The sequence below is a fragment of the Homo sapiens genome, chromosome 11 (genome assembly GCF_000001405.40).
Source record: "Homo sapiens chromosome 11, GRCh38.p14 Primary Assembly".
Taxonomy (NCBI): domain Eukaryota; kingdom Metazoa; phylum Chordata; class Mammalia; order Primates; family Hominidae; genus Homo; species Homo sapiens.
In genome coordinates this window covers 36,003,098-36,016,339 of record NC_000011.10, presented here as the reverse complement: position 1 = coordinate 36,016,339, position 13,242 = coordinate 36,003,098, and the positions used below count along the sequence as shown (strand labels likewise).

At 43.9% G+C, this 13,242-nt stretch overlaps 1 protein-coding gene and 1 non-coding gene across 4 annotated transcripts in view; both read right to left on the bottom strand.

Moving 5' to 3' along the window:
• Positions 1 to 13,242, bottom strand: part of LDLRAD3 (low density lipoprotein receptor class A domain containing 3) — a 288,075-nt gene that overhangs the window by 215,797 nt on the left and 59,036 nt on the right. The gene's annotated exons all lie outside the window — the stretch shown is intronic.
• Positions 6,136 to 6,242, bottom strand: MIR3973 (microRNA 3973). Its single transcript, NR_039769.1, has one exon. It is a non-coding gene; the product is annotated as a microRNA 3973 (primary transcript).

Below are 13,242 nucleotides of genomic sequence, written 5' to 3'. Positions count from 1 at the left end.
CTCAAACTAAAAAGAAAAACTGAACAAGGAATCACTTGGAGAAACCTGTGGGTGACTGCTTATTAATGAGTTAGCATAGAAAATGACCCAAGGGCTATGTTTCCTTTTATTCCCTTTTAGAACACAAGTGTATTCTATAAAAGCTCTTATGAGCCACCTTCCACAGCCACACTTCTCCCCTCCCTTCTGGCCAGCCCCACTCCCCACAAGAGGCCCACACCTCAGTTGCCTGGGTGGGATGCCTCTGACTCTGATTAAGGGATGTAAACGTCATTCGTCCTCTGCGGGGAATGTGGCAGGTCTCTCCAAATCTCACTTGCCCTCCCTGTGAGCTCACACTTACAGCCTGCTCTGGACTCCTATTTCCATGCTACTGGGTCTTCCAGGTGGCATCAGGCCACGATTTCTGCTGGAAAACAGACGAGCTCATTCAAGGGCGCCTGGAACAAGAGTGCTGGAGTCTGGAGCCCAAGGCTTGTGGGAGGTCGGGTCGCCAAGGTTTTGGAGTTGTCCTTGCAACCCAAGTGGGTGGAGGGTTATCCTACAACCCACCTCCTGGAAGATGAGGTGGAAACTAGATCTTTTTAACGTGGAGTAAAAGGAGCCAGACATTCTTGCCAGTTCAAAAACAGAAGAAAGGAATCTGTGATGTTGGAAGTCAGAACAGTGGCGGGGGGCAGGGGGAGGATGGAGTGGGGGCACCACCGGGGCTCTGGGGTTGGCAATGCTGTACTTCTTGAGCTAAGCCCTGGTTCCCCAGGTGTGTTTACTTCATGGAAATTCATAGAGCTCCCCAGTTAACATCTGCGCGCTCTTCGGTATGTGCGTTAAGTTTCTATAAAAAGTTTACTTAAATAAAAAGTAAAAAACATGTTTTTGAACAGCACAGCTGGCTTATAGACACCATTCCTCTCCTTTCTTCCTTCTACAGCCTGAGCAACCAGCAACCTCACTATCAAGTCCAAGAGTTCACAATGCAATGACAAGGGGTGGGGACGGGGACAGGCAATGGGGGCAGGGGGCGGGGGGGGGGAATGGCATGTCCCGGATTTATTTTTAATTGATTCACTCATTTTCTCTGAATACTCAAAACAGCCCCACTCCTTTTCTGCAATGCCCAAAATGGCACGAGCCACACCCTGATAAACCCCAAGCATGCAAACTTCTCAGACCTGGCGCAAGGCTCTGCGGTGGCATCTACTGAAGCTCGGCTTAACAGCCAGACTCTGGGATGCATGCAGAAAAGTCTACATGGCTGCTGTCGCTTCAGTTCCAAAATGAATCTGAACAGGGAGTAGGGGACTGCCCTGGAAGCCAATTCCAGCTCCAGTTACAATCCAACTCACTTTCCAAACTCTTCTGGGATTATTCTTGGTTATCAGGAATCCTAGGGGGTTCTTCACTGAACTTTTCCACATGGTTCGTCTGGGGGCTCCCCCCTTCTTTTGTTTAAACATTTTTTATTTGTCTTTGGCAAAAAATAAAATAAAAATAAATCATAAAGTTTATAGCAAGCTATACAGAGAGAAAAGCCATCCAGAATAATTTATGTTTGATGAGTCTACAGATTAGACAACTGAATGCTGATTTCTGCCTGCAGCCAAGGGAGATGTCTGAACCTGGCTTTCTTCCTCTTTTCTGCCGTAATAATTCTTTCAAAAAGGCACTGCCCTGTCATCACCACTGCCCAGATAGATGTTCAGGAAGGAGTCTGAACCCTGGGAGAGGAAGGCTGATTTCACCTCGCCAGCAAAGTTTCTGCCACCTCCCCATGGCAGGCGGGAAAGGAGGGAGCAGGTGTGATGGGCCACCCAGCCAAGGGGAGTTGTGACTTTAAGAGCACTCCAGGCGTTACCATCACTGCAGGTACCATGCACATCCCATACTGCACCCTTCCAGCCGCTTCCATTCCTTGGGCACAACAGAAGTTATCATTTCCCATAATGGTGTTACACAGCATTTTCATTAAAGCCTAGGCTGGTAATACCATTCCTTTGTATTTAGTACACAGCTCCATGCCGGTCATGCACCCCTCTCTCTGTCTATCTGTCTGTCTCTCTTTCTCAGATCAGCTTCTTGTGTTCCCACAAAACAGCTTCTGTTCAAACTTCTGCCCAGAGCAACTCCATCTCCAGACACCTCTCCAACCCCAGTAAAAATCCCAAACTTGTGTAAACACGCAAAGGTCTGCTCAAAGCTCAGCCTCCAAGAACAGGGAGGCGTGGAAGGAACACCTCAGCACACACTTGCCAGGCCCAAGAATCACAGGCCCACAGTTCAGCAACAGGACACACAACCAAAAACCACAGGAGGAAAGGTTTCAAAAGAAAGAACCAACTGAAGACTTTTTTACAAAGTATCTTTTTGAGGAAAAAAAAGGGGGTGTGCCTGCAAAGCCTGCCTTACCTTAGCTCTCCACCAATGTCTTCCTGATCCTAGCGGACAACACTTATCTATGGGGCAGCAGCAAAACTGGTGGATGGGAGGCAGAAAGATTTCAAGGCATCTGTAACAGCCACTGTCAATCACCCCAGCTAGAGAGAAGGAAAAAAACTCAGGCACACTCCCCTGGGGGTTTGCAAACTCCTGAGAAGAAAAGGAAACAGACTTTGTAAAACACCATCCAAAGAAATAGACATCACTCCTAAAGAAAATATGGCACATATATACCATGGAATACTATGCAGCCATAAAAAAGAATGAGTTCATGTCCTTTGCAGGGACATGGATCAAGCTGGAAGCCATCACTCTCGGCAAACTAACACAGGAACAGAAAACCAAACACCACATGTTCTCACTCATAAGTGGGAGTTGAACAATGAGAACACATGGACACAGGGAAGGGAATATCACACACAGGGGCCTGTAGGGGGGTGGGGGGCAAGGGGAGGGAGAGCATCAGGACAAATACCTAATGTATGCAGGGCTTAAAACCTAGACAATGGGTAGACAGGTGCAGCAAACCACCATGGCACATGTATACCTATGTAACAAACCTGCACATTCTGCACATGTATCTCGGAACTTAAAGTAAAAAAAAAGAAGAAGAAGAAACAGACATCATTCCTTCAAAGTCCCTTTGCATCAGCAAACTGCTGAGAGGCTAAGAAGCCCTGCTAATAAGCACACAATTTCAGAAAAAAATGTATTATTACCCAACTGCCCTTATGAATCAGGCATTATCCTCAGTACTGCTCAAAGGACAAGAGATAAGAACACTCAGCGATATTTGGAAAACAAAATATTTCTCAGGTTGCCTGTACAAATAAGGAACAGCATTTCTATCTCTAAATATACCAAATATAATACCTTTGGGCAAGCTGATTTATACAAAATGGACATTTTTTATATTTCAAAATTAACGGTAACTTTAGAAGTATAATGGAAATAGAATTGAAACTGCATAAATTTCCAACCTCTGCTCCCAAACATCTGACTTTTTTCTTTTCAACTTTTCCATCCAGCTTTTTTCCAGTTTTAAAATTCCCAGAAGTTCACATCTTGAAATACAATAGTCCTCCCTTTTCTGCAGTTTCGTTTTTTGCAGTTTCAGTTACCCTCAGTCAATGGACTTCTGAAAATATTAATGGAAAATTCCAAAAATAAACCATTCATAAGTTCTGAATTGTGGTCCAATTCTGAGCGGTGTGATGAAATCTCGTGTCGTCCTGCTCTGTCCTGCCCAGGATATGAATCTTCCCTTTGTCCAGCATACACACACTGTCTACACTATCTGCCTATTAGTCACTTAAGAACGGTCTCAGTTATCAGATCAACTGCCTCTGTCTTGCAATGTTTGTGTTTCAGTAACCAATTTTATTTAATAATGGCCCCAAAGCACAAGAAGAGTGATGCTGGTAATTCAGGTATGCCAAAGAGAAGCTGTAAAGTGCTTCCTTTAAGTGAAAAGGTGAAAGTTCTCGACTTAGTAAGGAAAGGAAAAAAAACTTATGCTGAGGTTGCTAAGATGTACAGTGAGAAAAAATTTTCTATCTGTGAAATTGTGAAGAAGGAAAAAGAATTTGTGCTAGTTTTGCTGTCACACCTCAAACTGCAAAAGTTATAGCCAGAGTGTGTGATAAGTGCTTAGTTAGGATGGAAAGGCATTAAATTTGTAGGTGGAACACATGGACAGAAATAGGTTTCAGTTGACAGCAATTTGGTACTATATTCGGTTTCAGGCATCCACTGGGGGTCTTGAAATGTACCCCCCGAAGATAAGGGGAGACTACTATAGAATATATTAATCAGAATTCCTAACCCCTAGAGACTTTAGAATATAGAAGAACAACAATCTAAACTGATTAAAATCAATAGTAAGAAATCACTTTCGAAGAAAATAGCAAACTTCTATGACCGTACCTGCCTTCTTCCCCACAGTCATGCAGTTAGACTATGAAGTCAAACAGTCATGATGCTGGTGACAGGCCGCCACTCAGACTTCCCTTAGACGTGATGCCTGCATTCGTGGAGCACCCACTATGTGTTAGAGCCTGCACTGGTGCTTTCTGTTTGTCATTTAATCCACACTGCATCGGGTAGCTACTTATACCCATTTTCCAGATGAGGAAATTGAGGTTCAAGATGACAAGCCAGGTAATGAGAACTAGCATGCAAATCAGGCTCTAACTGGCTCGCTAAATCTCTTTCCAACTGACCTCTGCTATGTCCCCAAAATAGCAGAATAGACCTGTTGATGAAGAATACATAAGTTACAATTGCTTATGGTTCTCTCTCCACCCTTTCAAAGGTTATAATATCAGTATTATTGAGGTAGCAGAACTTTTGATACACAAATCCCAAATTAATTATACATCTGAAGTGTTGAAGGACCACCCAAATCTAGACTACAGCAATGACCACTGTGTTCTCACTTCTAAAATTCCTAGCCAGTGACCTCCTCAACAATGACATTTTTCACTGATTGGGGCCATGGAACAAGATATTTATATTTAATAGATACCCGCTGCCTATCGCATGCTCTGTTTTGTAGTAAGCACTCATTCAACTAACTGATTCATTCATTTACCCAAAAAGAAAGCATTAGACACCTACTATACTCAAGGTTGCAGGGAATACAAGACTTGAGCACATCAAAAACCTACTATTGAGCAGGAGAGAAGAAGTGTGCACCTAAAGAGCTATAAAATTAAAATTATTTTATAATTATAAAAGTTGGAAGTCATAAATGCCACAGAAGAAAGTAAGAAATGGAATGTAAGAATTACTAAGAGGGGCTGGGTGCGGTGGCTCACGCCTGTAATTGCAGCACTTTGGGAGGCCAAGGCAGGCAGATCACCTGAGGTTAGGAGTTCGAGACCAGCCTGACCAACATGGAGAAACCCCACCTCTACTAAAAATACAAAATCAGCCAGGCTTGGTGGTGCATGCCTGCAATCCCAGCTACTCAGGAGGCTGAGGCAGGAGAATTGCTTGAATCTCGGAAGCAGAGGTTGCAGTGAGCCAAGATCGCACCATCACACTCCAGCCTAGGCAACAAGAGCGAAACTCCATTTCAAAAAAAAAAGAATTTCTAAGGAGGGGGAAATTTATTCCAGGGGAAGCATCATGGAATGCTGCATGGAATAATTTCCACCCAGGCTGCTTTGCAGGTTGGGTATGATGCAGACCTCTATTCCAAATGAAACGCTGAGCTAAATGGAGGCATGAAAGCAAATGGTCATGGAGAGGAGGATATAAGGGTGGGAAAAGCTTTAAGTGCCAGACTATAGAACTTGGACTTAACTTTATACACAAGGAGAAGCCAACATCATCCGTTTTTGAGCAAGGGAGTGACATGAGATGAGTAATGCTTCAGGTAGGTTAACCTGGCAGCCCTATGTAGAAAGAGATGGGAAAGAAAAGTAATAAGAAAATCCAATTTGGAAGCTATTGGAAATTTTTAGGCATCCATTTGGGAATCAAAGAGTTGGGTCTATCTTCACTAATTCCAAAATATATTCTTCTTCTAATAAGAAATATTATGAAGGGCTGGGCAAACTTAAAGTAAATAAATCTATTTAGTCTCTTGACTATTTGCTGAAGGCAGAGACAACTCAAGTCATCCATCTCTGGCTTTGGAAAACAGCAGATGGTATTTTTGGCAGCAGATCCACTGTCCTAGTTATATGTTTTGCTAAGGCTAATGCTGTACTTTGTTTGCATTTCTTCTGCCTGCACCATTGGAGCAAGGGGCAAGCAATCCTAAAATGTAACAAGCAATACAGAGAGCTACCCTGGGCTTCAAATTTTAACACTCAGATACTCCAGACACAAACACAATAAAGTAGGTTATACTCTTCAGTCCCTTATTCTGATAGTATTTTTTGAGGCCTGAGCACTTTGTCAATAATTCTGACCAGTTTCCTTCAAATCTTCAAAACCCCAAAGACAACAAGCAAGATAAAAGCAAGGAGTAGAATCCGATCATGAGTGGCTATGTATACAAAGCTGGAGAATTCCTGATACTGGTTACAGATTTCTGGAAAACTTCTTCGTAAGAAAAATAAAACAATCTTTTTGAAAACTGTGTTATTTGCAGACCTGCCTTTTTGATGTGCTCTTTTCCATAATATGAATAATGGAAAAAAAATGTTGCAGGAAATGAAGTGACTCATAGAATTTTCTGCATGGATTGAATTTCTGCAACTTTCGGTAAGCAAATCAGCAACAGAACGAATGGCATTTGCATTTCAGCAACACCCAATCCACTTATAAGGGTGCATGACAGTGATTATAGTGGAGGTGGGAAACCCATTCTTTCCTAAAGAGTCTAATTTTATCTTCCCAATTCCACTTTACATCTTTCAGCATAAACCTCTGGCTGGGTGGAAATCCATTTCTATTCGGATAGAAACTAATTTTTCAGGTATGTAAGTGAAAAATAATACAGGACTGTCTTCTCCAATGCTATTCTTAGCCTTTTGTAAATCCAGGTGACCAGGATAGACAACCAGATCCTGCAAAGGGAGTTCGTCAAAGCCCTGCCTATGATGACTGCTCCCAGAGCAGGGGGTCTAAACTATGGTTTGGAAGCATTTGATTTAATACTATTAAAAGGTCTGTCTCAGAGCAAAAAAGGGAGTTTCCTGGGAAGCACTGCCAAGATAAGGAAATTAACTCTTCAGGAAAGTTCCAGGAAGAGAAAGGTAGAAGTAGCCACAGATATGAGTTGGGGAAAGGATGGACATTTCAGCAGTATGAAATCCATTTCACTGGATACCAGGAAACCAGGATAAAAGTGAAGGTGTGTACTTACTTGGGCCTTGATCTCAGAGTGTTGGAGAAGAGAGAAAAAAATACAAAGGAGGGAGATATCTAGCCGTGTCTCCATGTGGAGACAAAGGAAGGTAAGAGAATGGTCAATTAAAGGGAATAAAAAGACGATATATATTATTTTCATAACCAAAGCTGTAGGAGACTGCTATAATCTCCACAGTTGTAATGCTGCTGTAAAAACATGTTTTTAAAAATAAGGCCTCAGTGGAAATCGAAATCCAAGCTGGAAAGCCTACAAGGAAAACAAGGCAGTACTTCTTCCCTGAACAGCACAGTTTCCTGTGAATACACAGTGAATAAGAGCGGATTCATTTCTTAAGAAGACAAAACAAAGACCTCAGTTCTCTTGAATATGCTTATTAATATTTAGCCAGTTAAACATGGGCCTTTCCCAGTTGCAACTTGCCAGCCCATAAATATTTACTAGGAATTGACACAGGCACATACAGAGACAGATAAAAAATATATATATTCATTCTTTCTCACCCCATAGGACTGGAACACCCAAAGAATTGCCTGTGTATCGACAAACCCAATCTTGCAATAGGAGCATTTAAAGTTACATTTCTTGACCCCAACAAACTCCTGGGAGAAAGGATCCCTCTCCCCAGATTCTAAATTCCTCCTTATATTTTCTCAAGCCTTGAAGAGGTCCCAACACCAAATAGGAATGCTACCGTCTTCCATGAACCCTGGAGTTGGGATGGAGGAGGCTTTCCTTGAGGTACAACTGCACTCTCATCAAAGCACAATCTGTATCTAATCCACATTTTCAGGCCTCAGGTGCACATTCAAATGGCTTTTTGAAAAAATATAGGATTTTACCCAATTTGTTTACCCATTCTGCCTGGTTTGCGTCCCCAAGTGTTCTTTACAAATGACAAATAATATGCCCTCCTCACATAAAAATGGCCCTAATGATAACTACCATTTATTGGGTATTCTCCATGTGCCGGAGCCTTTACAAGCATCTAATATTTATAACAACTTTAATCAAAAGACTCATTTGCTCCCTTCCACAAAGGAGAAGAGGCCACTCAGGTAGGCTGAACAGTCCACCAGAGGTCACGTGGAGTAAACTGAGTGTCTGGGATTTCTACAAGGGTTGGGTCTGCCTAAACTTTATTTCATCTTCACTCAATTCTTTTATCTGGCCACAAAAACATAGCCATGGAAAAATCCAACCATCTCACACCCGCTTCCCAGCACCTGAACTACAAGCTTACATTGCAGCCTGTCGGATTCTCCTGCCAGTTTCCCCTCAGAAAGAAAATTTACGAGGACTGTACTAAAATCACTGGTCTGCAGAGGCTGCAAAGTGACTTCTAGTTTTAAAAACTAACACGAGTCTCCCCCAGAGCTGATTATTAGGGCTGATGCAGCTCATAAAATGGACCATAAGACCATTTCTGTTCTAACAGTTTTGTGTTTTCCTTTTCCAGAGTGCTGGCTGAGGAGGACTGCTGAAGAAATGCCTTCCCAAGCCGCCGGTCCTTCCACACTCAGGCAAGCCTCAGGACTGCCTTCGCCTCTTCCCTCCCTCACCTTTATCAGATTCTCTCCAGTATGCACAAAGGAAACATGATTAACCAGCCTCCCTACCAGAGGGTGATCTCAGATGGGTCCCAGAAGCAGGTTCTAATTTACTTAAGTGATGAGTCTCTCCAGTTACTCAATCCTACAATACCGGCCAGTAGATATAATTGCAAAGCAGGTAGGCTAGACTCACCAACCTGCCAATTCAGTGCCAACAAACATTGCAAATTACAGGGTATAAATTTAGCAGGGTGGGTCTTGACACACATTCCTGCGAATTACACCTTCTCTCACTAGTAGAAAGTGCATTAATTACTTCGGGTGCATGTACGACTTCCACTTACTCGGAGCTTTCTGGAAAGCTATGAGCAACTCAGAGTAATCCATGAAGATTAAAGTATAAATAAATAATGACTGCTGGAGGAGGTGGGATTTTTCCAAAGCTCTTGGAATCAGAATTGTTAACTTTCTCCCCCACAGACTGAGAGAGTCACTGAGGCCCACTGTGTGGGGCTGGGGACAGAGTAACCCAGGTCAAGGCACAAATATGGGACCAGTAGGGCTGAACCTTGAGCAGGATGGTGGCAATGGAGCAGCCATTTCCTCCCTCTTGGGCTAAAAGTGCGACTTCCCCTGCAGGAAGGGGAATAGTCGACATCTGGAGCAAGGCAGATGCAGCCAGAAGTAAGGTCTGAATCCACGGGCTTGAGCCCATAAGGCAATTTCACCCTGTGTGATAACAGTGGAGCACTATTTATGCACCAGGCACTGAGCTAAATATCTACATCCTGCATTGTCATGGGATTGTTCACCACCACCATGTGATGGAGGAAGGAACCAGTGCTAAGTTTACAGAGGAGAAAACTAAGGCTCAGAGAGTTCAAAAACTTGCCCAAGGAAACATAATCAGACAGTCATGGAACCCAGGTCTGTATGACTCTAAAACCCACACTCTTAAACACTAGGAACTGCAGCAGCTATGGAGAGGCAGCGAGCCCAAGGTGCCCAGTCTGGGATTCGGGGAGGGTGAACCACCATCACACATCCATTCAGTAACTCCTACTTCGTATATGCCTGGCACACAGCTCAGCGCTTTCACTAAACCTGTTCCATTTAATTCTCAGAACAACTCTGGGAGGCATCTCATCCCCTTGACTGCACCCTTAAGGAAACCAAGGCTGGGAAAAGTCAAGAGCATCCAGCTAATGAGTAGAAAAGCCAACATTTTAATTCATCCATATGCTTCCTAAAGTCATGGCTTTTCCCCTAATCTGTGAATTAATTGTAACTCTGGTAACTATGGCGCCCACATAATTTAGGGAGAAAAGAAGGATTAAACAGAATCAAACTGCTGGGGCTAGAGGAAAACACTCAATGATGCTACCCACCATTGAGGTCTCTGAGCCCATATTTCCTGTGGGATGAGGAACGACTGGGCATCTATAGTGGGCAAGGGCGCAGTTTTTGTTTAAGTTGCTCAACATCTTAGATATGGTTTGGATTTGTGTCTCTGTCCAAATCTCATGTCGAATTGGAGGAGGGGCCTAGTAGGAGGTGACTGAATCATGGGGATGGATTTCCCCCTTGCTGCTCTCGTGATAGCAAGTTCTCATGAGATCTGATGCTTTAAACATGTGTGGCACTTCCCCCTTCGCGCTCTCTCTCTCCTGCCACCATGTGAAGAAGGTCCTTGCTTTCCCTTCACCTTCTGCCATGATTTTAAGTTGCCTGAGGCCTCCTAGTCATGCTTCTTGTTAAGCTTGCAGAATTGAGAGTAAATTAGCCCTTTTTTCTTCAGAAATTACCCAGTCTAAGGCAGTTCTTTATAGGAGTGTGAAAATGAACTAATACAGAAAATGGGTACCAGGAGTGGGGCACTGCTGTAAAGATACCAGAACATGTGAAAGTGACTTTCGAACTGGGTAATGGGCAGAGGTTGGAATAGTTTGGAGAGCTCAGAAGAAGGCAGGAAGATGTGGGAAAGTTTGGAACTTCCTAGAGACTTGTTGAATGTTCTTGACCAAAATGCTGATCGTGACATGGACAATGAAGTCCGGGCTGAGGTGGTCTCAGATGGAGATGAGGAACTTATCGGGAACGGGAGTAAAGGTCACTCTTGCTATGCTTTAGCAAAGAGACTGGTGGCATTCTGCCCCTGCCCTAGAGATCTGTGGAACTTTGAACTTGACAGAGATGATTTAGGGTATCTCACAGAAGAAATTTCTAAGCAGCAAAGCATTCATGACCTGGCTGTTTCTAAAAGTGTATGCTCATATGCATGAACAAAGAGATTATCTGAAATTGGAACTTATATTTAAAAGGGAAGCAGAGCATAAAAGTTTGGAAAATGTGCAGCCCGGCCATGTGGTAGAAAAGAAAACCCTATTTTCTGGAAAGAAATTCAACCCTGCTGCAGAAGTTTGCATAAGTAAAATGGAGCTGAATGTCAATAGCCAAGACAACAGGAGAAATGTCTCCAGGGCATTTCAGAGAACTTCACAGCAGCCCCTCCCATCACAGGCCAGGAGGGAAAAATGGTTTTGTGAGCAGGGCCCAGGACCCAGTTGCTCTCTGCAGCCTTGGGACATGGTGCCCTGTGTCCTAGCCACTCCAGCTCCAGCTAAAAGGGGCCAAGGTACAGCTCAAGCTGTGGTGTCAGAGGGTGCAAGCCTCAAGCCTTGCCAACTTTCACATGGTGTTGGACCTGTGGGTGCACAGAAGGCAAGAGTTGAGGTTTGGGAACCTCTCTCTAGATTTCAGAGGATGTATGGAAACTCCTGGATGTCCAGGCAGAAGTCTGCTGCAGGGGCAGAGCCCTCATGCAGAACCTCTACTAGGGCAATGTAGACGGGAAATGTGGGGTTGGAGCCCCTATACGCAGTAACCACTGGGGCACTGCCTAGTAGAGCTGTGAGAAGGGGGTCACCATTATTCAGACCCCAGAATGTAGATCCACTGATTGCTTGCACTATGCACCTGGAAAAGCCACAGGCACTCAATGCCAGCCTGTGAAAGCTGCCATGGGGGCTGTACCCTGCAGACTCACAGAAGCAGAGATGCCCAAGGCCTTGAGAGCCCACCTTTTGCATCGGTGTGCCCTGGATGTGAGACATGGAGTCAAAGGGGATCATTTTGGAGCTTTAAGATTTAATGACTGCCCTGCTGGGTTTCAGACTTGTGTGGGGACTACAGCCCCATTTTTTCAGCCAATTTCCCCCACTTGAAACAAAAGCATTCACCCTATACCTGTATCCCCATTGTATCTTGGAAGTAATTAACTTGATTTTGATTTTACAGGCTCATAGGCAGAAGGGATTTACTTTGTCTCAGATAAGACTTTGAACTGTGAACTTCTGAGTTAATGCTGAAATAAGACTAGGGGACTGTTGAGAAGAGATAATTGTATTTTGCAATGTGAAAAGGACATGATATTTGGGAGGGGTCACGGGTGCAATAATTTGGTTTGGATGTGTGCCCCCACCCAAGTCTCATGTCATATTGGAGGAGAGGCCTGGTGGGAAGTGACTGGATCATGGGGCAGATTTCCCCTTTGCTGTTTTTGTGACAGTGAGTTCTCATGAGATCTGATGGTTTAAAAGTGTGTGGCACTTCCCCCTTCACTCTCTCTCTCTCCCTCCTGCCACCATGTGAATAAGGTGCTTGCTTCCCCTTCGCCTTCCACCATGATTGTAAGCTTCCTGAGGCCTCCCAGCCATGCTTTCTGTTAAACCTATGGAACTGTGAGTCAACTAAACCTCTTTTCTTCATAAATTACCCAGGCTCAGGTGGTTCTTTATAGCAATGTGAAAACGGACTAATACAACATCCATTCTCCTTCTACTTTATTTGAATTATCACTTTCTCAGTGGCTATAATGTAGTAGGACCATAGGCAGAGGTTCTACCCTTTCTAGCCAAAGGGAGATCATGTAATCTAAGCTGAACTAACATGATGCTCCGTCCCTGGAGAGTGACTCTTTAGAACAGGGACAAAAGCATTCCAACCCTTCCAAGAGACAGGATGTCACAGGGCTCATTTTTGCTGTAAGACCCTATCAACATTCTCTCACTTTCCCTCCAAGTCCACTCAGCTTGGAAGCTCACAGGCCTCCTGACTGAAAGGACTCAGGCTTCAACAGGAAAGGCTGAGAAAATACAGTTAATATGGAAGAAAAGCAACACACCCCATTCACAGTGGCAAAATCTGTGTGTAGTCTCTACTGAAACAGAAAAGGGTATTAGAACAGAACCTGGCAGCTTCCAGATGTGACACACACTCACTCTAATAGGAGATACTTCCTGCACCAGCCAGGCCAGGTAAGATCAGGCTTGGCCATTAGAAGAGTGACCTGTCACAGCCAGATCACCCTCTCATCACCTCTGATATTGATAGGGCATTTTCTCTTTATCAACAGCATTTGGTGGCTTA